The sequence below is a fragment of the Homo sapiens genome, chromosome 2 (genome assembly GCF_000001405.40).
Source record: "Homo sapiens chromosome 2, GRCh38.p14 Primary Assembly".
In the NCBI taxonomy this organism is placed as follows: Eukaryota; Metazoa; Chordata; class Mammalia; order Primates; family Hominidae; genus Homo; species Homo sapiens.
Genome location: NC_000002.12, coordinates 26,335,990 through 26,359,854, shown reverse-complemented (window position 1 = coordinate 26,359,854; position 23,865 = coordinate 26,335,990). Strand labels below are relative to the sequence as shown.

At 43.2% G+C, this 23,865-nt stretch overlaps 2 protein-coding genes across 11 annotated transcripts in view, besides 7 other annotated features; one reads left to right on the top strand and one right to left on the bottom strand.

The window, feature by feature from the left end:
• Positions 1-13,712, bottom strand: part of SELENOI (selenoprotein I) — a 49,743-nt gene extending 36,031 nt beyond the window's left edge. For both annotated transcript variants that reach the window (NR_137633.2, NM_033505.4), the window contains exon 1: positions 13,566-13,712. Coding sequence is in view for 1 of the 2 variants with exons in the window: in NM_033505.4 (NP_277040.1) it covers positions 13,566-13,622 (57 nt within the window). In the remaining variant the exon portion in view is untranslated. The remainder of the gene's footprint in view (positions 1-13,565) is intronic.
• Positions 12,808-12,907: an enhancer, noted in NCBI's record as "active region_15471". NCBI's record gives its function as "activates an Ori minimal core promoter by ATAC-STARR-seq in GM12878 lymphoblastoid cells {active_cell/tissue: GM12878}" and the evidence as "EXISTENCE:reporter gene assay evidence [ECO:0000049][PMID:35858748]".
• Positions 13,020-13,787: an enhancer, noted in NCBI's record as "H3K27ac hESC enhancer chr2:26568936-26569703 (GRCh37/hg19 assembly coordinates)". NCBI's record gives its function as "activates a minimal SCP1, AML or CMV promoter by ChIP-STARR-seq in naive H9 embryonic stem cells {active_cell/tissue: H9 hESC(naive)}" and the evidence as "EXISTENCE:reporter gene assay evidence [ECO:0000049][PMID:30033119]".
• Positions 13,020-13,897: a biological region, named in NCBI's record as "H3K27ac hESC enhancer GRCh37_chr2:26568936-26569703".
• The window catches only part of ADGRF3 (adhesion G protein-coupled receptor F3), a 38,617-nt gene continuing 27,817 nt past the window's right edge, over positions 13,066-23,865 (top strand). For 7 of the 9 annotated variants that reach the window (NR_135916.2, NR_171656.1, NM_001393343.1 and 4 more), the window contains exon 1: positions 13,066-13,734. Coding sequence is in view for 4 of the 9 variants with exons in the window: in NM_153835.4 (NP_722577.2) it covers positions 13,621-13,734 (114 nt within the window). In the remaining 5 variants the exon portion in view is untranslated. Of the gene's footprint in view, positions 13,977-14,043; positions 14,145-23,865 lie in introns of those variants that run through there. The other 2 variants (NR_171657.1, NM_001321975.2) reach the window with 2 other exon arrangements.
• Positions 13,448-13,497: a silencer, noted in NCBI's record as "silent region_11273". NCBI's record gives its function as "represses an Ori minimal core promoter by ATAC-STARR-seq in GM12878 lymphoblastoid cells {active_cell/tissue: GM12878}" and the evidence as "EXISTENCE:reporter gene assay evidence [ECO:0000049][PMID:35858748]".
• Positions 13,558-13,617: a silencer, noted in NCBI's record as "silent region_11272". NCBI's record gives its function as "represses an Ori minimal core promoter by ATAC-STARR-seq in GM12878 lymphoblastoid cells {active_cell/tissue: GM12878}" and the evidence as "EXISTENCE:reporter gene assay evidence [ECO:0000049][PMID:35858748]".
• Positions 13,668-13,897: a silencer, noted in NCBI's record as "silent region_11271". NCBI's record gives its function as "represses an Ori minimal core promoter by ATAC-STARR-seq in GM12878 lymphoblastoid cells {active_cell/tissue: GM12878}" and the evidence as "EXISTENCE:reporter gene assay evidence [ECO:0000049][PMID:35858748]".
• Positions 14,108-14,247: an enhancer, noted in NCBI's record as "active region_15470". NCBI's record gives its function as "activates an Ori minimal core promoter by ATAC-STARR-seq in GM12878 lymphoblastoid cells {active_cell/tissue: GM12878}" and the evidence as "EXISTENCE:reporter gene assay evidence [ECO:0000049][PMID:35858748]".

The following is a 23,865-nucleotide window of genomic DNA, read 5'->3' as shown; positions in this document are numbered from 1 at the left end:
AAACAGTCATCGGGCCTCATTTTACAGGCCTCAGATCACCAAAAAACCAAAACAAACAAAAAAACTCACCAACTCATTACTTCCAGAAGCAACCCAATTCAAAGTTAAAACAATTTTTCTATACACTAACAAAATCCTCCCCTGCCCTATATCATCTATCCTGTGTTTTCATTTTGCTCTACAAGTTAAGCAGTCTAATTTTTCTTTTTTTTGAGACAGAGTCTCACTCTGTCACCCAGGCTGGAGTGCAGTGGTGTGATCTCAGCTCACTGCAACCTCTGCCTCCCGGGTTCAAACGATTCTCCTGCCTCAGCCTCTTGAGTAGTTGGGATTACAGGCACCCGCCACCACACCTGGCTAATTTTTGTATTTTTAGTAGAGTCGCGGTTTCACCATGTTGGTCAGGCTGGTCTTGAACCCCTGACCTCAGGTGATCTGCCCATCTCAGCCTCCCAAAGTTCTAGGATTACAGGCAAGTACCACTACACCAGGCCTAATTTTTCTTCTAAACTACAGTCTTTCAAATATTTGAAGACAGCGCTCCCTGTCACACCTAAATCTTTTCATCATCTGTTCCTATACTCCTTTTTGCCATGGTTTCAGTCTCCTTCGTTATCTAGGTCTAGTTTAATACACCAGGGGTTGGAGAGCTTTTTCTGTAAAGGTCTATATAGTAAATATTTGAGGCTTTGCAGGCCATATGGTCTTTGCAACAAATACATAACACTTGGAACAGGAAAGCAGTCACAGAAAATATGTAAGCAAATGGGGCTGGCGGTGTTCTAATAAAACTGTATTCACTAAAACAGGCAGACTGGGGGCTTCAGTTTGACAACCCCTGCTTCAGACAATCCAATTTGTTGTTAAATCAACACAAACATGTGGTCTAGGGCAAAAGGAGCATTTCAAGTGGTATATGAATAGGAAGCAGAACATGACTATAAGCCCCTCTTCCTTGATAACTTATGCTGCTCAAGATATTATTAATTCCCGGGACAACTAAATCATACTGCAGTCACCTGAACCCCCTCAGGCCTTTCTCACGTGGACTGCAAAGCCATCTTTCTCTATGCTAATATGAGCTTGACTACTGGAATGCAGGTGTGATACTGCATCTAAAGTTTTAACATTTCATCTTGCTAAAGTCAACTCATTTCTGCCCTCTCCAGATTTCTTCTGATCCTGGCTTGGTTATCCAAGGAAATAGCTATTCCTACCAAAACTCTCAGCATATAAATCTGGTCATGCTAATAATGCTTTCACTTAAGTCTCTGTAAAAATGCCAATCAACGTAGACCTTCTAAATATTTCCCTCAAGACTGCTATTATGGACCGGGCATTGTGGCTCATGCTTGTAATCCCAGTGCCTTGGGAGGCTGAGGTGGGGTGGGGGAATCACTTGAGCCCAGGAGTTTGAGACCAGCCTGGGCTATAAAAGGTTTTTTTTGTTTTGTTTTTGTCTTCTTTTGAGACGGAGTCTCACTCTGTCACCAGGCTGGAGTACAGTGGCAGCGATCTCGGCTCACTGCAACCTCCGCCTCCCAGGTTCAAGCGATTCTCCTGCCTCAGCCTCACAGATGTGCACCCCATAGCCTGGCTAAATTTTGTATTTTTAGTAGAGATGGGGTTTCACCATGTTGGCCAGGCTTGTCTTGAACTCCTGACCTCAAGAGATCCTCCCGTCTTGGGCTCTCAAAGTGCTGGGATTGCAGGCGTGAGCCACTGCGCCCCACTGAGACTGGGTAATTTATAAAGAAAAACAGGTTTAATGGACTCACAGTTCCATGTGGCTGAGGAGGCCTCACAATCATAGTGGAAGGCGAAAGGCATGTCTTACTTGGCGACAGGCAAAGAGAATGAGAGCCAAGCAAAAGGGGTTTCCTCTTATAAAACCATCAGATCTCATGAGACTTATTTACTACCACAAAAACAGTATGGAGGAAACCGCCCCCATGGTTCAATTTCTCCGAATGGGTCCCTCCCACAATTCGTGGGAATTATGGGAGCTACAATTCAAGGTGAGATTTGGGTGGGGGCACAGCCAAAGCATATCAGCAACAAAGCAAGACACTGCTCCCCACACCCCTTAAAAAATAACCACATGTACACAATTTGTGATAAATACTACAAAGGGAATTATCCGAGTATTATGTAAGAAGAGGACAAGGGGACAGAAACACAGGGAAGAAGGCCATATGAAGAGGGAGGGCAAGCTTGGAGTTACGCTGCCACAGGCCCAGGCAGGCCAGGAGCTACTGGAAGCTGAAATAGAGGCAAGGAAGGATTCTCGCCTAGAGCTTTTGGAGGGTGTGTGGCTCTGCCAATACCTTGTTTTTCTACACTTCTAGCCTCCGTAACTATGAGAGAATTAAAATTCTGTTGTTTAAAGCCACTCAGTGTGTGGTAATTTTTATGGCAGCCTTAGGAGGCTAGTAAAGATGGTAACCAGCTCCCAAAAAAGAAGAGAACAAGTGGAGCAGGAAGTGTGCCTAGTCAGAGTGGTCAGAGGCAGCTTCTAGAAGGCGACATTTAAGCTGAGTCCTAGATGAGAAGGCAGTCAGGTAAAGAATGTATGAGACACAGTAGTGAGTGGAAGGCTAAAGACAATGTGCTTTCATAGATTCCACTTATATGAAGTTCAAAAACAGAATTGATTTATGGCAAAAGAAGTCCTAACAGTAGTTTGGTGAGAGGGACTGATGGGGACCTTCTGAGGCACTAGAAATAATTCTGTATCTTGAGCTGGGTGGTGGTTACATGGGTATATACACATGTAATAAAGCAGTAAATTATACACTTAAGATCTTAATGTATTACAGTATTTATATGTAATTTTTACCTAAAAAGGAAAAGAGAGAGAAAACGAAAGACTGTATGACTCACGTGTGTGTGTGTGTGGAGGTAGGGATGTAATACATGCCAAGAAACACCTTCAAGGCAGGAGAACAATAACATGTACAAAGACCACCAACAGAAGTATCAGAAATGCTGAAGGAAGGCCAATGGAGCTCCAGCATCATAAAGAAGGGTGATATAAAATGAGACTGGAAAGGTGGGCAGACATCACCTGGCAGGACCACAGGGAGTTGGATTTTATTCTAAGAACAAAAAATGGTCCTTAAGAGGACCATTCTGAACATGATGTAGAAAATGGACTTGAAGGGGGTAAAGTACAAACTAGAGACCAGTTAGAAACTATTATAGTTTATCAGGCAAGTGACAATTATGGGTTTAGTCTAGGAGCAGTACAATGACTTGTAAAATACTTTCTAAATATGCTGTGAAGTGTCCATTTTTGAGAAGATTAGAAATGAGTCCCCCTTAATTTAAGAAGGAAATTGGCTCTAACATAAGGAAAACTATGAAAACACCTTCTTGGACCTAAAAGTATGTCCTTTATACATGTATTTAAATCCCTTCTATGTACCAATAAGAAAACTGAACTGACACATCTTTGCACTAAATACTGAGCTCTGGACAACTTAGTAATCACACTGAGTCCACTGCCCCAAGTAATGCTCTACTATCTATTAACCAGGCATGGTAGTACACGCCTGTAGTCCCAGCTACTCAGGAGGCTGAAGTGGGAGGATCACCTGAACCCAGGAGTTTGAGGCTGCAATGAGCTATGACATGTCACTGTACTTCAGCCTGGGCAACAGAGGGAGATCTTATTTCTAATTAAAACAAAACATCGCTAAACTTAAAATACAAAAAAAGTAGGGGGAAGGATAATTAACCCTAGGACAGAAATAAAAAGTTTTTTAATGTACTTTTAATCAATACAAGACTTGAGGCCAGGAATGCTGGCTCACCCAGGCAAGGTGGCTCACGCCAATAATGCCAGCACTTTGGGAGGCTGAGATAGGCAGATAGCTTGAACCCAGAGCTTCAAGACCAGCCTGGGAAACACAGAGAAACCCCATTTCTACAAAATAATACAAAAATGAGCCAGGTGTGGTGGCGTATGACTGTAGTCCAGCTACTTGAGAGGTTGAAGTGGGAGGATCACCTGAGCCTGGGGAGGTTGAGGCTACAGTGAGCCGTGATAGTGCCACTGCACTCCAGCCTAAGCAACAGAGCGAGACACTCTCTCAAAAAAAAAAAAAGGGAGAGAGAGAGAGAGACTTGAAGAACTACGCCCACAGAGAACATGACTCATTGAGCAAGGAGATCTAATTTCAGTGAATACCGTCGTTTACATCTAACAAGTCGGAGAGAGGAGGGTGGCAATAGGAGACTGGAGAATTAGAGCAATGAGACAAATACAAGCAAGTCATGATGACAAACAGGTTTGCTTGCTAGACTTTAAGTAAGCTCTAACAAGATGAGAAGATATGGCAAAAGGAGGCGTCATTTAGTGAATGAACTTGAAATCTTTGCTGAGGAATTTGGATATCAAACACATGGAAGCCACTGCTGACTCTTAAATAGGGTGCAGTATTTGAGAAAAATTATTTATTGTCTCTGTGCTATTACATATAATTATTCTTTTCAGAAGAAATCTGAAGCCAAAGACTATCTGGGGGACCCAAGCTAGACAGACTCCTTATTACTCTTTCCAGCTGTCCATTACGTTGCCACCCTTCACTTCCTATCTGAAAATAGTTTCTCTTGGTATAACCACCAGGGATGTGTATAAGTGTGGATATATTATATGCTAGCCAATGTTCATTTGTGCAGGGAATCACAAATGTCAAGTTTTATTTATTTACTCAGCACTTATACAGCACTATGTGCCAGGCACTTTATAAATTTTAACTCATTCAGTTTTCAGAATTATCCTATGGGGTAGGTACTACTCCATTTCACAGATGAGGAAACCTGGTTAGATTAAGTTACCTGCTAAGTATCACACAGCTGGTATGTGGAAACTTTTTAACGTAATATTAGTCCAAAAGCTAATTATTTAATCAAAAGCCTTTTATCTCAAATAGAGCTAATCATAAATGAAATGGTCTTTATGCTCAACTAAATGCAAGACTAGTAAATTCAGGCCCGCTTGCCCCTACTAATAATTTTAAACCAGGGAAAGAGTAAACAAAATCAGGTTTTTTCCACTACATTTTCCCCATCTGCGTACATTAGATACACATCCAATTAAGCATGCCATTGAAGGTCTTTATTCTAATGTTTATATATCTTACACAAAAACAGCCAGTACCGCCAGGCGCGGTGGCTCACATCTGTAATCCCAGCACTTTGGAAGGCCAAGGCGGGCGAATCATGAAGTCAGGAGATCAAGACCATCCTAGCTAACACGGTGAAACCCCGTCTCTACTAAAAAAAAAAAACAAAAAATTAGCCGGGCGTGGTGGCGGCCGCCTGTAGTCCCAGCTAATCGGGAGGCTGAAGAAGGAGAATAGCGTGAACCCAGGAGGCGGAGCTTGCAGTGAGCCGAGATCGCACCACTGCACTCCAGCCTGGGCGACAGAGCGAGAGTCTCGAAAAAACAAAAACAAAACAAAAAAACAAAAACAAACAGCCAGTACCTACAAGGCAGAGTTTATATTTCACTCTTAGTTTTGAGAGGCAGAATAGCAGGAAGAACATGGACTCCAGACTGATTGCCTGAGTTCAAATCTCAGCTCCACCACTTACGAGCTGTGGGACCCTGAGCAAATTACTTAAATTTTCAGTGTCTCGGTGAAACAGGGAAAATAGTACCTCTTTCTCAGATGGCAGTTGTGAATATTAAATGAGATAATACACATAAAGCACTTAAAGCAGTGCCTGGCACAGAGTATACAATATATAAATGTTTGCTATCATTATTATTGTTATTCAGTATTTATGATGATAATGCTTTCCCTCACTGAGCTCCCAAGGCTCGGCCTGGTCACTTACACACCCGCCACTTCCTTGTGCTTCTAACATACCAGGGTCTTTCCAGTCTCTGTGCCTTGGTTCCCACGGGTGTCTTTGAATGGCACACCTTTCCCCGAGTTTCCCGTATGCAGTAGGCAAACTCTTATTTAGCAAAGAATTTCTTAATATTTAAGCACTACAGCAGTTAGAGAAACAAGCCATCATCAGTGAACTGTTATTTCAGAAGGCAGTAAAAGATCCAATTCAAGATGTTTCCTCCAAATAGCACCTAAAAATGTAGTAGCCATCTTCTTACCACTAAATCTCTCCCCTTCTGCAGTTTTCCACCCATCCTTCTTGTCTCTGCCAACTGCAGAAATAATTCTTTCTGCCAGACATATATAAATCACTATCTAAGACAACTAGAATACATTTCAAGCCTTATTAATGTACTTACAGGGAACAGAGGGCAGTTCCCCAAATCTAGTCAAGGTGACAAAGGTACAATTAAAGATAAGTTATGCTTCAATTAACTGTAATGGATCCAGGCAATGCCATAATTAACATATTGTATTGTAGTCAGCTTGTAGTCATAATAAATGAAAATCAAAATATCAAGAATTTCTCATGTTCTATTGAGGCTCTAAAAGGAAAAGTGTTCGTATCTTTGAAATTTTTACAGAAATGTCCTCTAATAGAGGACAACTCATTCACAAATGAGATTTCTTTACAAGTTTTCTTTGTTTTAATTCCAAGTCCATAAGCCACACTTTCATGTGGTCCCATCCAAGAGAAGTGACCTGTGCAAAACACTATTGTATTTTTTTAAAAAATTATATATATAAAACAGTATGCTGTTTCATAAAACCCTGCCTCAGTGACTACCACTTCTATCCACCCAGTCATCCTACCAGAACCTGAGTCATCCTAGACTCCTCCCCGTCTTTTATGTGGCCCTCTACACCACCTCCAGCTAGTCAGTCACCATGTTCTGCCAATCTTGTATCTTCAAATCAAGGATCACAGGGATCTAGCAGGTAAACTGAACAAAGCATTCCTGCATAAAGCATATGCATTGGTAGAGAAGTGGCAAATTAGAGAGCAAATAAAAAGAGGGCAAGCACTATTCAGCATCAGCTGATTCTTGTCAAGAGGAAGTTCAGGGCCAGTATAGTCCAATATTCTGGTTTTTTTTTTTTTTTTCAAGAGAATCCAGAAATCTGGACTTTTATGAGAAAGACACTAATTTTTTTTATTATTATTGAGATGAAGTCTCGCTCTGTCTCCCATGCTGGAGTGCAGTGGCACGATCTTGGCTCACTGCAACCTCCACCTCCCAGATTCAAGCGATTCTCCTGCCTCAGCCTCCCAAGTAGTTGGGATTACAGGCACACACCACCATGCCCAGCTAATTTTTGTATTTTTAGTAGAGACAGGGTTTCACCATCTTGGCCAGGGTGGTCTCGAACTCCTGACCTCGTGATCCACCTGCCTCGGCCTCCCAAAGTAACTGAGATTACAGGCGTGAGCCACCGCACCCGGCTAGAGATACTAATTTTTGAAAGAAAGCAAGTGTGGGCCAAATTAAACATAACTGTTGGCTAAATTCAGTGTGCAGGTCAACCTGTTTTGACGTCTATCTTTAGAATCCCCACTCCTTCCTTTTTATCCCCACCCCTTAGTTCAGGCCTTTGACATTTCTTAACTTAGTTTTATGCAGAAGCATCCTAAAAGGCCTCCAGAGCACCTCTATCTCTCTCCATCTTCTACACGCTGCCAGAGTGAGCTTCCTAAAATTGAAATGTGATCCTGTCTAGATTTCAATTTTAAACAGTGGCTCCCCAAAACCTATAGCACTATAATGTGCCTAAGAACCACTTAAGATATTTGGCTTTTTTTTCTTCTCTGAGACAGGGTCTCACTCTGTCACCTAGACCAGAGTGCAGTGGCGTGATCTCAGCTCACTGCAGCCTTGACTTCCCAGGCTTCAGCAATCCTCCCACCTCAGCCTCCAGAGTAGCTGGGACACAGGTATGCGCCATAACACCCGGCTAATTTTTGTATTTTTGGTGAAACTGGGTTTCACCATATTGTCCCAGCTGGTCTCAAACTACTGGGCTCAAGCAATCCACTTGCTTTGGCCTCCCAAAGTGCTGGAATTAAGGCCTAAGGCACTGCACCTGGCCTGAGGTATTTGTTAAAGATGGAAATAACCGCAATCTATCCAATCTGTATCTCCCAAAGAGAGCCAGGAATTTGCTAAAGACCCTCCCGAAGTGATTCTGATGCCAACAGTCCTTGAACCACACAGTGATCTACAGGATCAAATCCAGAAGTCCTTTACATCAAATCATTCCCCTCTGACAGCACCCCACCTCCCTCTCCAGTCTCATCTCCTGCCACTCCACCATTATGTCTAAAGACCTTATCTAACTTCTTGTGGTTCCCAGAAAATACCGAGGCCTTCATCACTTTACACTCCATTGCTCTCTTGTTCCATAATGCCTTTCTCCCCTCTTAACCTGGTAGTACAGTCTGATTTATGACAGTTTCACTCGTAATTTTTCAACTTTACGATGGTGCAAAGGCAACACGCATTCGGTAGAAAGTGCTATGATATTCTCTCAAAATTCTGGGCAGCACAGCGAGCCACAGCTCCTAGTCAGTAATGCAATCACAAGGGTGAACAGGCCAGGTGTAGTGGCTCATGCCTGTAATCCCAGCACTTTGGGAGGCCAAGGCAGGCGGATCACCTGAGGTCCGAAGTTCAAGACCACCCTGGCCAACATGGCGAAACCTGTCTCTACTAAAAATACAAAAATTAGCCGGGTGTGGTGGTGCGTGCCTGTAATCCTAGACACTCGGGAGGCTGAGGCACGAGAATTGCTTGAACCCAGGAGGTGGAGGTGGCAGTGAGCCGAGATTGTACCTCTGCACTCCAGCCTGGGCAACAAAACGAGACTCCGTCTCAAAAAAAAAAAAAAAAAAAAACAAACAAACAGTGAACAACCAATTCTCTACTGCACTGCCAGATGATTTTGCTCAAGTACAGGCGAATTAATCTAAGTGTTCTGAGCACATTTAAGGTAGGCTAGGCTAAGCTATGATGTTCAGTAGGTTAAGTGTATTAAATGTATTTTTGACTACAATAGGTCTATCAGGAACAGAAACCCATCATAAATGGAGCAGCATCTCTCTCTCTCTCCTTCTCTCTATATAATATAAATATACATATTCATCTTTCTAGACTGAGCTTTGCCTTCACCTCCATCCCCTGAAGGCTTTCTCAACTCTAGCTCCCACTCCCTGGAAGCTGCCTCCTCTCCTCTTCCATAGCAGCCAGCACTTGCCTAACTGGACTTATTAACTTTTTATAACTGTTCATTTACATGTTCACATGCCACCAAACTGAGTTATTTGAAGACAAGAATTTCAACTTAGCTTAATTTTGCAGCCCAAATGCTATGCCTGACACTGAGTAGACCCTCAATAAATGCTTGTTGAATAAACAAAATCAAACTGTATGATGGCCAGGCACGGTGGCCCCTGCCTATAATCCCAGCACTTTGTGAGGCCAAGGGAGGAAGATCACCTGAGGAATTCAAGGCTGCAGTAAGCTATGATCGCACCACTGCACTCCAGCCTGGGCGACAAAGCAAGACCCTGTCTCTAAAAAAAGATAAGAATGAAAATAATTTTTTATGAAATTTTCAGGAACTAGTAAGGTTAAAGGCCAGATTCTGGTTCTTTAGTATTACCATTAAGATGCAAACACAATCTCTCTTTACCACCTCTAATTGTAATACTAATAAATTCACAATTATCATGATTCCTATAATCAGGCTGTTGTTGAGAGCCAAGTTAATTAATTACCATAATATCAAAAACCAGTTCATCATGAAACTATATATATATTTATACACACACACTTTTTTTTTTTGAGTCAGGGTCTTTCTCTGTTGCTCAGGCTGCAAAACAGTGGCACAATCATAGCTCACTGCAGCTCAACTTCCAGACTCAACTGATCCTCCCACTTCAGCCTCCCAAGTAGCTAGGACCATAGGCACGTGCTACCATGCCTGGCTAATTTTTTTTTTTTTTTTTTTTTTTTTTTGTGGAGATGAGGTCTCACTATGTTGCCCAACTTCTATCCTCAAGCCATCCTCCCACCTCAGCCTCCGGAAGTGTTGGGATTACAGGCATGAGCCACTGTGCCCAGACAAATAACTTTCTCGAACCAACCAAACAAGATATTTCACAGAATATTTCCTCCCTTAGGCAAAATGATACAATTTCAAAGTAGCTGCTACACTATCAATTAAAACTTTGCCTTCCCAAATGATGAGCAAACCAGGACAAAAAAAAAAAAAAAAAAACCAACTTGCAGTTTCACCCTTAGATAAGTGGGGAAAAATCCCTCAACTATAAAGACCTGTCCAAGGGCTGGGCACGGTGGCTCACGCCTTTAATCCCAACACTTTGGGAGGCCGAGGTGGGTGGATCACCTGAGGTCAGGAGTTCGAGACCAGCCTGGCCAACATGTGAAACCCTGTCTCAAAGAAAAATACAAAAATTAGCCGGGCATGGTGGCAGGCGCCTGTAATCCCAGCTACTCAGGAGGCTGAGGCAGGAGAACTGCTTGAACCCGGGAGGCGGAGGCTGCAGTGAGCTGAGATCGCGCCACTGCACTCCAGCCTGGGCGACAAAAGCAAAACTCCATCTCAAAAAAAAAAAAAAAGACAAGTGTGGTGGCTCATGCCTGTAATCTCAGCACTCTGGGAGGCCAGGGCGGATCACCTGAGGTTGGGAGTTCGAGACCAGCCTGACCAACATGGAGAAATGCACCGCTACTAAAAATACAAAGTTAGCCAGGTGAGGTGGTGCATGCCTGTAATCCCAGCTACTCGGGAGGCTGAGACAGGAGAATCGCTTGAACGCAGGAGGCGGAGGTTTCAGTGAGCTGAGATCGCGCCATTGCACTCCAGCCTGGGCAACAAGAGCAAACCTCCATCTCCAAAAAAAAAAAAAAAAAAAAAAAAAAAAAAAAAAAGCCTGTCCAAAACAAAGGATGGGTAGAGGCAAAAATAAGGCTGAAATCCTTCAGTATAATTCTCTGAAGTTACCTTAGTTAATAAGCAACAGAGAACAATGGCAGTTAAACCTGATATCTTCACATTTAAAATACAAAAGCACCCTTTCAATATCCAGACATAGAGCTCCTTTTTTTTTTTTAACCATACTTCCAAAATGGTTGATTCTTTTACATTCTCATTCCTTCAATATTTGTTTAGCACTTACTCTGTTCATGGTACTGTGCTAGACCTCAGTCATGTTATTAAAGAAAAAAAAAAAAAAGTCAGCCATAGGGCCTGCCCTCTTAAAGCTCACGTCCTAAAAGAGAAAGTAGACATTCAACTAATAGTCAACTAACTGTTTAATACAATTGCGTTAAGTAACACAATAGCGAATGCAAGTGTCAATACATAACACAGAATCCATCCCACGCTCTTCCATACCAAAAATCAATTGTCTTATAGTTTCCTGCTTCAGAAACCTAATTTCCACTCCCCGTGTGCACCCCTTTCAGCAGTTATTCTGTATATCTGTCAGGTTTCCAACTGTAGCTCTCAGATATACCTCTAGGGAAGATAAATTAAACTACTTCAAAAGTAATTTTTCCACCAACTGCTTTTGTAGTGTCAGTTCTTCTTTACATCCCTCTTATAAAGCATCACATGAGGGAATACAAAATATCTTTTGAGTGTTTTCAATCTTTACCCATTTATGGGGAAAAAAGACTTTTTAAAATAAGCATTTATAAAGCGCTTACTATCTGAAGACAACATAAGGGGAACGCAACGATAAGAAAAAAAGATCTGTGAGATTTGTGTTCAAGCAAAACTGATCCCATGGATTTTTCCTTTGGATACCACTGGATTCATAATTTTAATATAAATGCAGTATTGAGTAATTGCAATAGAAGAATATTTAGGTTATAAATGTGTGCTTTTTTTTCCCCAAGGAAGCCTCATTATAACTAAAATGATATCAACAAACTATTTTAGTGAACATTGGACGCTTGCTAAATCGACCTTTGTTTTCCAGGATGATAGGAAGTCATCTGCTGTCAGATACAGGAACTTATATAATAAAAAAGGGGGAAAGATCAGAACAGAAAATTACACGAAACTTCTAGTAAATTAAGACACTTATTTAGTTGAAAATATAAATCTAGGGAAGATTCTTTATAAGAAAAAGGAGATTTCCTATTATAAACACTGCTCCCATTGAAATAGCTATTTTATTGGCACTTAGAAAGTCAGACCCTAGTAAGGAAGAAAATGTTTTATATGTCAATATTTACCCTGCAGAACAGACAACAAAAGGGGAGTAGAGCTTAAGGCAAAACAGGAGGTATCTGGGTTAACAGCCTTCTAAAATGAAAGTTGAAAAGCACTGGCCCGAGTTACCAAGAAGGCTCTGGACCCTCTTTCCACTTAAAATGTTAAGACAAGTCATCACCTCGGTTCAGAATGGTATGGCACAATACGGCTTGAAAGCAGAGAAACATGCTATGTGACCTTCTAAGGACCCTTGCTTTTTTTTTTTTTAACTCGAGTTAAACAAAATCCATTATGACTTTTTCAGTTATTCATTCATTCCACAAATGCTTACTGGGTGCCTAGTATGCACATAGCACTGTGCTTAAGCCATGATGGTCCACAAGAAAACTCTAATGAGTTGGGCATTATATTCTAATGGCGAGACACGCTAAAGCAGCAATTCCATAAACGAACAGAGCGCACATTTAAGGGGGAAAGGGGCACGTAGGGAGGGCTTCTTTGAGGAAGCAATATTTAAGCTAAGATGTGAAGATGAACGGGTAACAACAAGGATGAAGGGTTAAAGCCCATATTTCAGGCTTGGTCGACTGGATGGTTAGAGTCATTCATTGGTAAAGGAACTGCGGATGGGAACCAGATTTGGAGGAAAGTTAACCACCCGCATTTATTTACTGGGGTCCTAGTATGTTGCCAAGCGCTTCACAAATTCCTCTAATCATTTTGCACAGCAGAAGCTATTACTTTCAGTTTCATACACAAAAGAGAGGCTGAGCGGGGTTAAAATGACGTGCCCAAGACGAAATAAAGAAATCTGACTTTTGTAATCAGGTTTGTATGTGCTCGAAAGCCCGCGCTCTTTCCACTCCACAGCTCCTTCCTGTGCACCTCCCTTTCATCTGGTGGCCCTAGCGCCACAAGCTGCCGCTTAGGAAGTCCCTGCCGGGAGCAGAAGTGGAGACATCAGCAGGATGGCATCGGCAAGTCGCTCCCCTCCCGGGCCTCATCTGCCAAACGATCATCTCCTCCTCCGAAGTTGTATGCATGACAGGCGAGTGGAAACTTCACTAAAATGAAGGCGATTGACACAACAGAAGGAACTCCATCCTTTCGGGGGCTTACGAAAATAATAAGTTTAAAAAAAATAGGAAGGGAATTCCCTCGCTCCATGATCACTGAGCGCTCTCCTAAGGAAAAGGAAATCTCCCGGGGGGTGCCGACTACGGGCGGCGGGCTTAGGATGCTCCCACGCTCCCCGACCCCCAATCCCCAGGACCCGCAGGACCTCCGGAGGAACGCCCGCCAGCCCGCCCGGAGCCACGCGGCACAAGGTGACACGGACCGCGCCGCGCGGGCCCCTCAGCCGCCTGGGCGAGGCCGGGAGCAGGGAGAGGGGCATCCGCCGGCCCGCGGTACCTTGTACTTATCAAAGCCAGCCAGCTGCTCCGGGCTCACGTATTCGTAGCCAGCCATGACGACCCGAAAACTGAGCGCCCACTCGGCAGCGACTCCCGGCTACAAGGCTGTGACACACAAGCACCACACCGGCTGGGCAAGGATGGCAAAGACTGGGCTGCCCGAGAAGGTAGGAGAGCCGCGCTCCGCCCACCGCGCACGCGTAGCCGCCTCGGCCCCTTCGGCCGCCTCTCAGTGCGCAAGCGCAGCCCACGCTTCTCCCCGCCCATCGAGGGGGGGTTGCTAGCCCGCTCGAGCGGCCCGTCCCCCGACACTGCTGTTGTCCAATCGGCGTGGATCAGGCAACACTAAGTCCCGCCTTCCAGCTCTCTTCGTCGCTTCATTTGCTAGCGTCAAAATTGGTGAGCTGAGGTAAGGCAAGAGAGGGGGTGAAAGGTCAATTTCCCAGCGGGCTTTGCTCCCGGTCCCGGGGGAAGGTGGGATTTCTGTGGTATCCGCACTTGCGTGGTGATCTGGGGTATACCGTTTTAGTCTTGGGGGTAGAGTGACTGCTTGCGAACCAGTTCAGCAGTGCCTCAGGTAAGAGGACTTAGTTCTCCCGCTGCAGCGAAGTAAAAGAGGAAGGAGGTCTGTACCGCGAGCCGCTCCCAGCTCCTGGTGCGGTGCGCTGCGTGCCGTAGAAATTTAGTAAACGTGGTTAGATGTAGAGAAGGCCGAGCTGCTGCCGGGGCCACGGGAGTCTTTGTGCGGTCAGCAGAGGGACTTGAAAGACAGGTGAAAGGACATTGGAGACAAGCCCCTCAGGTCTATGTTGCTTAGGAACCTTGGACCGCCTCATCGCACTCCGCTCTATCAAACCGTTCCAAATTAAGATTGCTGGTGTCTCCCGACCAGATAAAAGCAGTGATCTCTCAGTCTCGACGAGTCCTTAAATGCGTTTGCAAGAGGTGTTTTACATAACTGGAGCCCAGTTAATTGTAAAACAAACAAACAAACAAAAAACACTAGATCAATGGCTAGTGAGTATCTACTAATAAAATTTTATAATAGTTGCTGCTTTTTATTGAGCGCCTTCTGTGGGGAGAACTTCACATACATTATCAACCCCATAACAACACTGAAGTGAAAGGCATTATCCCCTTTTTCAGATTAGGCAGCCTGCCCAGAGTCACTTAGTTACGAAGCTCGGAAATGATCGACCCAACATGAAATGAGTTCTGTGTTATGGGAAACCACTACTTCAGGGAGCCTTTCAGTCTCTCTGGGTCTCTGAAATAAGGGCGATTATTTTGAGATACTTTTATGTTCATTCGTTTAACAACTATTTATTGGGGACCCGAGATATGCCAAACACAGTATTATTACTACATGTCTAATCTCCCCTCCTAAAGCATGATTCTTAGAAAGTAATAGATAATCTTATACCTGGTATATGGTAGATAATAAGCTTCTCCCCGCCCCCTGAGACAGGGACTGACTCACCCAGGCTGGAATGCAGTGACGTGATCACGGCTCACTGCAGCCTCGACCTCCCCTGGCTCAGGTGATCTTGCTTCCGTCTCCCAAGTAGCTAGAACTACAGGCGCACACCACCACACCCGGCTAAATTTTTTGCATTTTTTGAAGAATGGGCGCCCGCCAACCAATAAACTTCAGTGTCCTTTATCACACTTGCCCTCGAGGGCAGTATTTGCATCTTATACATCTTAATTTTCCCCATGTTCCATAACCCAGGGGGCTTGCAAATAATACATGATCAACGTATTTTATTGAATGAATGAGCAAAGATCTCTTTGATATGCTGTGAAGTACCAGTTTTGAGAAGAACATTAGAAATGAGAGTCTCGGCCAGGCGCGGTGGCTCACGCTTGTAATCCCTACACTTTGGGAGCCTGAGGTGGAGGGATTACTTGCGATCAGGAGTTTGAGACCAGCCTGGACAATATGGTGAAACCTCGTCTCAACTAAAAATACAAAAACTAACCGGGTGTGGTGGCACGCGCCTGTAGTCCCAGCTACTCAGGTTATTGAGGCAGGAGAATCGCTTGAGCCTGGGAGGTGGGGTTACGGTGAACCGAGATTGTGTCACTGCGCTCCAGCCTGGGCGACAGAGCAAGACTCCGTCTCAAAAACAAAACCAAAAAAACCCTTCATACTTGTAAAACTTAGTTAATTGTGGAAAGCCATAAAATGTGACTTCAGTGCAAGCTAATAATAGTTTATAAACTGCACTTATTGTTTATCAGTTCAGATATAAGCAAACTCAAAATGACATGATTGATTCTTAAAATTGTTTTCTACCTCTGATATTTTCTTTAAAAGCACTTTTTAAAACAGTAACTTTTAATTTTGTGAAAGCAGTTACAATTTGCTGCTTCTCTGCATAAGGTTGTAACAAGTTTGAATCAATTATAAATTCATCTGATAATTTATAAGCTGAAGCATAACCCAGAAATTGGTTTATACTTTGACATGTTACTGGCTGTGTAATCTCAGACAACTTACTTCACTTAGCCCCAGTACTCTTTTTCAAAAAGAGGGTATTTGGGCCGGGCGCCGTGGCTCACGCCTATAATCCCAGCACTTTGGAAGGCCGAGTCGGGCGGATCACGAGGTCAGGAGATCGAGACCATCCTGGCTAACACGGTGAAACCCCGTCTCTACTAAAAATATAAAAACAAAATTAGCCGGGCGTGGTGGCGGGTACCTGTAGTCCCAGCTACTCGGAAGGCTGAGGCAGGAGAATGGTGTGAACCCGGGAGGCGGAGCTTGCAGTGAGCCGAGATCGCGCCACTGCACTCCAGTCTGGGTGACACAGCGAGGCTCTGTCTCAAAAAAATAAAAAAAAAAAAGATCATTTGATCCTAAGATCTAATTCGATCCATTAGAACCTATTAGGTACTACGATCCTATTCATCTCTGAAATTCAGTGAAACTGTATATCATATAACTTCTCTGAGATTAAGTCATCTCATCTGGGAAATCTTGTCTTACCTACAATGATATGGCCCCAGTCTGTTCAATTAAATTCATACAAATTTAAGATATTAGTCATGCTCCATATAACCATGTTTCCGTCAATGAGGGACCACATGTGGTCCCTTAAGATTATAGTGGAGCTGAAAAATTTCTGTCATCTAGTGACATCCTAGCTGTCAAAATGTTGTAACACAAGGCATTACTCACGTTCGTGGTAATGCTAGTGTAAACAAACCTACCGCGCTGCCAGTCATCTAAAAGTATAGCACATATAATTATGTACACTACTGAATACTTGATAATAACTAACTGTCTTACTGGCTTTTGTATTTACTATCAGAGCATATCCTGTCATTAAGTGATGCATGACTGTATTTTCGCAGAATTCTGTGAATCCTAAACCCGGCAGGCATGGTCACGTGGGAAGAGAAAAATGTCATGGAAACAAATTTGCCTTTGGAACTAAGTCACCTTTCTGTTTCCTCGTTCCCAAATTTTATTCCAGGAGGCATTTTTCCCTAAGGCAGCCCAGCTGCCCCGGACTGCTTTAGATTGGCCTTGTTATTCCCATCTGTGCTCTACACGCCACATTCCTGAGTGTAGTTTATTATTGCTTTGTTTCCCATGTCTGCCTCTTCATCCATTGAAGTTTATTTCTTCTACATCTTGTACACTCAAGATCAGGCATTTTGCCTTCCAGAATAATAATCATAGAAAATATCAATTCGTGCTAGAAACAATATTTTTATTTTTATAATATAACCAAAATAAAGTGTTTTAAGTTCCTGGAGTGCCTGTTTTATTTAGTCTGAATAAGAGTGTATCAGATAAATGGAGACAGCCAAAAAATATTGGAGGTTAATTAAGGACTAATGTAGTTAATAACTCCAATATAAGTTACTGAAGCCATAAAAATGGGCAGGGTCTTCCAAAGAAGTTTGTAAAAAGGTATTGATTTAGTTCTCATTTTAAAATAAAAATGAATGCCTTATACACATAAACTCTGGTTCTCAAAGCAGTTTCACATGACTAACAATCCTGAGCCATGGGCCTGATGGCTGTTCCAATTGTATAGAGTGGAACAATAGAATAGTAATATATCTTACCAAAAGTCACCCAGGAAAGAGGAACACAGGTCATCAGACTTTTAGTTGAATAATTTTCCACTACACTATGCTTCTACAAGTTGATGGTAAGATATTAAAAAAAAAAAATCACAAGTCAGTTGTTTTTTTTTTGAGATGGAGTCTTGCTCTGTCGCCTAGGCTGGAGTGCAGTGGCGCAATATCAGCTCACTGCAATCTCCGCCTCCCGGGTTCACGCCATTCTCCTGCCTCAGCCTCCCAAGTAGCTGGGACTACAGGCACCTGCCACCATGCCCGGCTAATTTTTTGTATTTTTAGTAGAGACGGGGTTTCACCGTGTTGGCCAGGATGGTCTCGATCTCCTGACCTCGTGATCTGCCCGCCTCAGCCTCCCAAAGCGCTGGGATTACAGGTGTGAGCCACCGCGCCCAGCTCACAAGTCAGTTTTTAATCAAATTCCAGCATGCTGAAAGGCTGAGAAAGGAGGGTCCCTTGAGCCCAGGAATTCAAGACCAGCCTGGGCAACATAGGGAGACCCTGTCTCTACCAAAAAAAACAAAAAGGAACTCCCCAGTTATTATAGTAAATCTTCTCAAGTGGGGTTTTGTTTGCCTGTTTTTTGCTATATTTTACATTTTTCAATCATAATCCTCTTAGGTAAGAATGTAAAGGGAACTGTATGAGTGGGTCATCAGTCATATTTTTGTCACAGAAAAAGTCTACGCAATATAATGAGATTCAGCGTAAGCTAATACCTCCTACTTCCTATGTTGCTGGGGGAGGATGGTGTCTCTGCTATTTTGTGACTTATTCTCAACTAGCTTCTCAGTGGTGTTTGTTTGTTTCTCAAGATGGAGCCTCATTCTGTTGCCCAGGCTGGAGTGCAGTGGCGCGATCTTGGCTAACCGCAACCTCTGCCTCCTGGGTTCAAGCGATTCTCCTGCCTCAGACTCTGAGTAGCTGGGACTACAGGCGCCCGCCACCATGCCTGGCTAATTTTTGTATTTTTAGTAGAGATGGGGTTTCACTATGTTGGCCAGGCTGGTCTCAAACTCCTGACCTCAGGTGATCCACCCACCTTGGCCACACAAAGTGCTGGGATTACAGGCGTGAGCCACCTTGCCCGGTCTTCTCAGTGGTTTTATGGCCATTTTTGTGGTCTTAACCTACCAAACCAGTAGTGTCAGTAGTCATTCGAAGTCTAGAGACAGTTTAAACATTCAGAGGGACCCAGTGTGATATGAGGCAAGAGTAAAATCACAGGTCTAGTAATTTAGACCATCTACATATTTGCCATTCTTTTTTTTTTGAAGGCAAGTGATTGTTTCTTTGTTATAACCATTACTCATGAGCATGTCTGTTAAATAAAAGAAGCATTATTTTAAAAACTGATTGCAGGCAAAGTTTTACACTGGGCAAAGTCTTATTTTCATCATTCTTGAAGTTCTGGTAGTGAACCAGCATCTGTATTCTATGAATGGAGGAAGAATTAATACCTCTCCCACACACACATCCTCCTCCCCTTTATTACTCCACTAAAACGGAAGCAGAACTGTAGGTAAAGAGAGAACAAATCATTCAGATGAGTAGCCGTAGGGGCATCACCTCTGCGATCCTTTCTCTTTATTTTTGTTTGGCAATGTTAATCTCATCTAATGTCAGGTATGCAGATGCAACCAAATGTAACCACTGTTCTTTTTTAATTTCAGTTTGAACACACAGCTGTGCAAGGGCCTTCATTTTTGAATGAGGATTATTTTCACCTTCATGAAACTTTGAGATTATTGGATCAATGGTCATTCGGTTTTGGTGAAAGAGAAAGTCACTAGGAGAAAAAAAAAATCCTAAGTGGAACAAGAGAGTAAAGAACATTGTTATAATTCATATAATTCATTTTTCCTATAGGAATTCTGGAAATACTGGGGTTAAGGCAACAGTGGCCAACATAGAGCTCTACTACCTAAGACTTTCACTTTTTCCTTGACATGTATAACTAAGGCTATGTGGCCTGTTTGACCAGAACTCTAATGGAAGCTGGCTCTATTTTTTTTTAAATCAGACACTGTTGTCTATAAGTCTAGAAAACAAGATATACAAATAGGAAACAATATGTAAAATTGCAATTGAACACAGGTCGGGATGCTCACTGCTTGCAGAGTCTAACAAGAGCGAAGTCTGGTAGAAAGAAAATGATTTGATTAACCAAAACTGGTAAAGGGAAAGTGGCCAGATTTCTATCCAAAGGAATCGTTTCAATTTTTGAAGGGAAAGCAGAGGTTTAAAACGGGAAAACTTGATAAGGAAGGCATGTGAGAATTGTGCTGAGTACAATGTGGGTCTTGTTCTGGTGGCTCTCTTGGGTCCTAATCCACCTGGAATGCGGGCTGATGTCATCTCAACAATGGCCAGGTTGTTAACTAGCTGCCTTGAATTCGTCTCTGGAATTTTGCAGTTGGGTCTCCAGGCTTGGTCTGCCTATCTCAAGATTAGCCCCCGGAACTTCTAAGAAGGCGTATAATTAGATACTAGCATGCAGTTAGATAAATGTGAAGGGAGTATATACCATGAGAAACAGAGGGACCATGGAGTCTATATCAAGGCTAAGGGAAAAGGCTTCTGCAGTTTGCTTCAAAATTACGTCTTAAAACCCAAGAGGAAAGAAAAAAATATACATTAAAATGCAGTTTTGGGGGTGTGTTGTTTTGTTTTGTTTTGTTGGTTTGTTTGTTTGAGTCAGATTCTCACTCTGTCACCCAGGCTGGAGTGCAGTGGCACGATCTTAGCTCACTGCAACCTCTGCCTCCCGGGATCAAGCGATTCTCAAGCCTCAGCCTCTCATGTAGCTGGGATTACAGATGCGCCACCACGCCCAGCTAATTTTTTGGTATTTTTAGTAGAGGTGGGGTTTCACCATGTTGACCAAGCTGGTCTCGAACTCCTGACCTCAAGTGATCCACCCACCTCGGCCTCCCAAAGTGCTGGGATTACAGGCATGAGCCACCATGCTCAGCCCTTAAAATGCATTTTGAAGTTAAGGGACCCAGTTACAAAAGTAACAACTTCATTTTCTTTCTTTTCTTTGCTTTGCTTTTTTTTTTTTTTTTTTTTTTTGTGACGGAGTCTTACTCTGTTGCCCAGGCTGGAGTGCAGTGGCGCAATCTTGGCTCACTGCAACCTCCGCCTCCTGGGTTCAAGCAATTGTTCTGCTTCAGCCTGTGACTACAGGTGCACACCACCAATTTTTGTATTTTTAGTAGAGACAGGATTTCACCATGTTGGCCAGGATGGTCTTGATCTCCTGACTTTGTGATCCGCCCACCCCAGCCTCCCAAAGTGCTGGGATTACAGGCGTGAGCCACCGCACCCAGCCAACAACTTCATTTTCTTTTCATGTATCCTTATTGAACACTGTGTACCAAATACAAATTCCATGATGGACATGGAGATACAAAGCTGAAAAAGACTGCCGGATACGGTGGCTCATGCTTATAATCCCAGCACTTTGGGAGGCCAAGGCAGGCAGATCACCTGAGATCGGGAGTTTGAGACCAGCCTGGCCAACATGGAGAAACCCCATCTCTACTAAAAATACAAAATTAGCCGGGCGTGGTGGCACATGCCTGTAATTTAAGCTACTCGGGAGGCTGAGGCAGGAGAATCACTTAAACCTGGGAGGCAGAGGTTGCAGTGAGCCGAGATCGTGCCATTGCACTCCAGCCTGGGCAACAAGAGCGAAACTCCGTCTCAAAACAAAACAAAACAAAGTTGAATAAGACATGGTCCCCAAGCAGGGAGAAGTTATTATTGCACTCTGAAAATGACCAGCATCATCCAGTGCTCTGGCTCATCATTTTACTCTCTCTCTCTTTGTTTTTTTAGAGACAGGGTCTCACTCTGTTGCCCAGGTTGGCCTCAAACTCCTGGACTCAAGCAATCCTCCCACCTTGGCCTCCCAAGTAGCTGGGACTACAGGTGTGCATCACCATACCTGGCCATATTTCTATCTTTTTTTCATCCTCCTGTCTACCTCTCTTCTCCGTTTTTTAAATCCACTGTGAAGGTGTGGAATATTTTGTCTTGGACAGAGAATTGACTTAAAGACAGGAAACAAAGGCTTAAAATCAAAAGAAAATTCTAAATAAAGACTTTGAGATCACATAGGGATTTATTTATTTATCTATTTATTTATTTATTTTATTTTTGAGACCGAGTCTTGCTTTGTTGCCCAGGCTGGGAGGGCAGTGGCACGATCTCGGCTCACTGCAACCTCTGCTTCCTGGGTTCAAGTGATTCTCATGTCTCAGCCTCCCGAGTAGCTGGGATTACATGCATGTGCCACCATGCCTGGCCGATTTTTGTATTTTTAGTAGAGACAGGTTTTCGCCATGTTAGCCAAGCTGGTCTCAAACTCCTGGCCTCAAGCGATCCGCCTGCCTCGGCCTCCCAAAGTGCTGGGATTATAGGTGTGAGCCACCACACCTGGCCTGATTTAATATTTTGATGAATAATCTAGAAAGTGGGGTATGGAAACAGCTCTTCACATTTACTCACGATACTTAGCCCTTCATGATGAAATGCCTTATGAATAGACACAGACTACAAGAAAATACATTTTTAAAATAAGCAGTTTTAAAAGTTATGTTTTGCCATGTAACAAGTTACTCAAAATTCAGTAGCCTAAAATAAGAACCATTTTATTTGCTCATAATTCTGTGGGTCAGCAATTTGGAATGGGCTTAGCTGAGCAGTTTTGCTGGTCTTGCTAGATATGCTAATTAGCTTGACTGTGGTAATCATTTCACACTGTTCTCCATATCAAAACATCACATTGTACACCTAAAATAAATACAATTTTTATCTGTCAATCATATCTCAATGAAGCTGGGAGAACAATAAAGTGGAAGCTACAAGGCCTTTGTCGGCCTAGGTAAAATACCACACAATGTTGCTTCTGTTGCCTTCTGCCAGACAAAGCAAATCACAAGGCCAGTGCAGAGTCACGAAGGAGAAATAGATTCCACTACTTAATGGATGGAATGGCAAAGTCACACAGTGTGGGGCCTGCAGAAAAGTATAGGACAATCACTGCCCCTATATTTGTAAACAATCTACCACTTCAGATTAGCTGCTGTCGCTAAAAATACAGTAAGTAGGCTTCATGAAAAGACTTGCAAACCACTGACTTACACCTAGATCACTTTCAAATATTCAGAGAAAGAACGGCAAAAACTCTTGTCATTGGCTTTTTTTAGTCATCATAAACTATCTCTTACTTCCAAACCTCCCACTTGCTCTTCACTCATCTTCAGTCCATTTCCAACCCCATAGATGCCACTGAAATGGCTACTGCCAGGTTCCTCCTCTTTGATGCTGAGTCAAATGGACACTTTCAGACATAACTTACTGGGGTTGTCTTCCACTTATCCTGCCCACTGTTATTTCCTTGAAACTTCCTCCCTTCTCCCTTGATTGCTTTTTTTTTTTTTTTTTTTTTTTTTTTTTTATGGAGTCTCACTCTGTCACCAAGGTTGGAGTGTAGTGCCAAGATCTTGGCTCACTGCAACCTCCACCTCCTGGGCTGAAGAGATTCTCCTACCTCAGCCTCCAGAGTAGCTGGGACTACAGGCACTTGCCACCACGCCCAGCTAATTTTTGTATTTTTAGTAGAGACAGGGTTTTGCCATGTTGGCCAGGCTGGTCTCGAACTCCTGACCTCAAGTGATTCACCCATCTCGGTCTCCCAAAGTGCTTGGATTACAGGCATGAGCCACTGCGCCTAGCCTCCCTTGATTGCTTTGAATTTAATTACTCTTGTCGTCATTCTCTCCGACCCTTCCTTCCAACAGACACACATACACACGCACACACACATACATACAAACACACACTCACACACACACACACACACACTCTTGATCTCCCCAGAATGCAGGATTATTCATAAATCGCCAAACATTTCAGGTTGCATATACAAAGCTTCTGTTCCTTTGTTCGTGACTGGTTAACTCCCTCTCAATCTTCAAGATTCATCTTAAGTTTCATTTCTCCCAAGAAGCCTTTTTTGTCCCAGTTGGCAACCTACTTCCAGCTCCCCACACTGTGTTCCCACAGCATCCTGTGCATACCTTTATGTTTATGTTAGGAAATTATCTATTCTTTTCTGTCTTACTGGACTCTAAGTGCCTTGAAGGTAAAGACCAAATCTGTATACCTCTGAGTCTGTAAGATAATGCCTC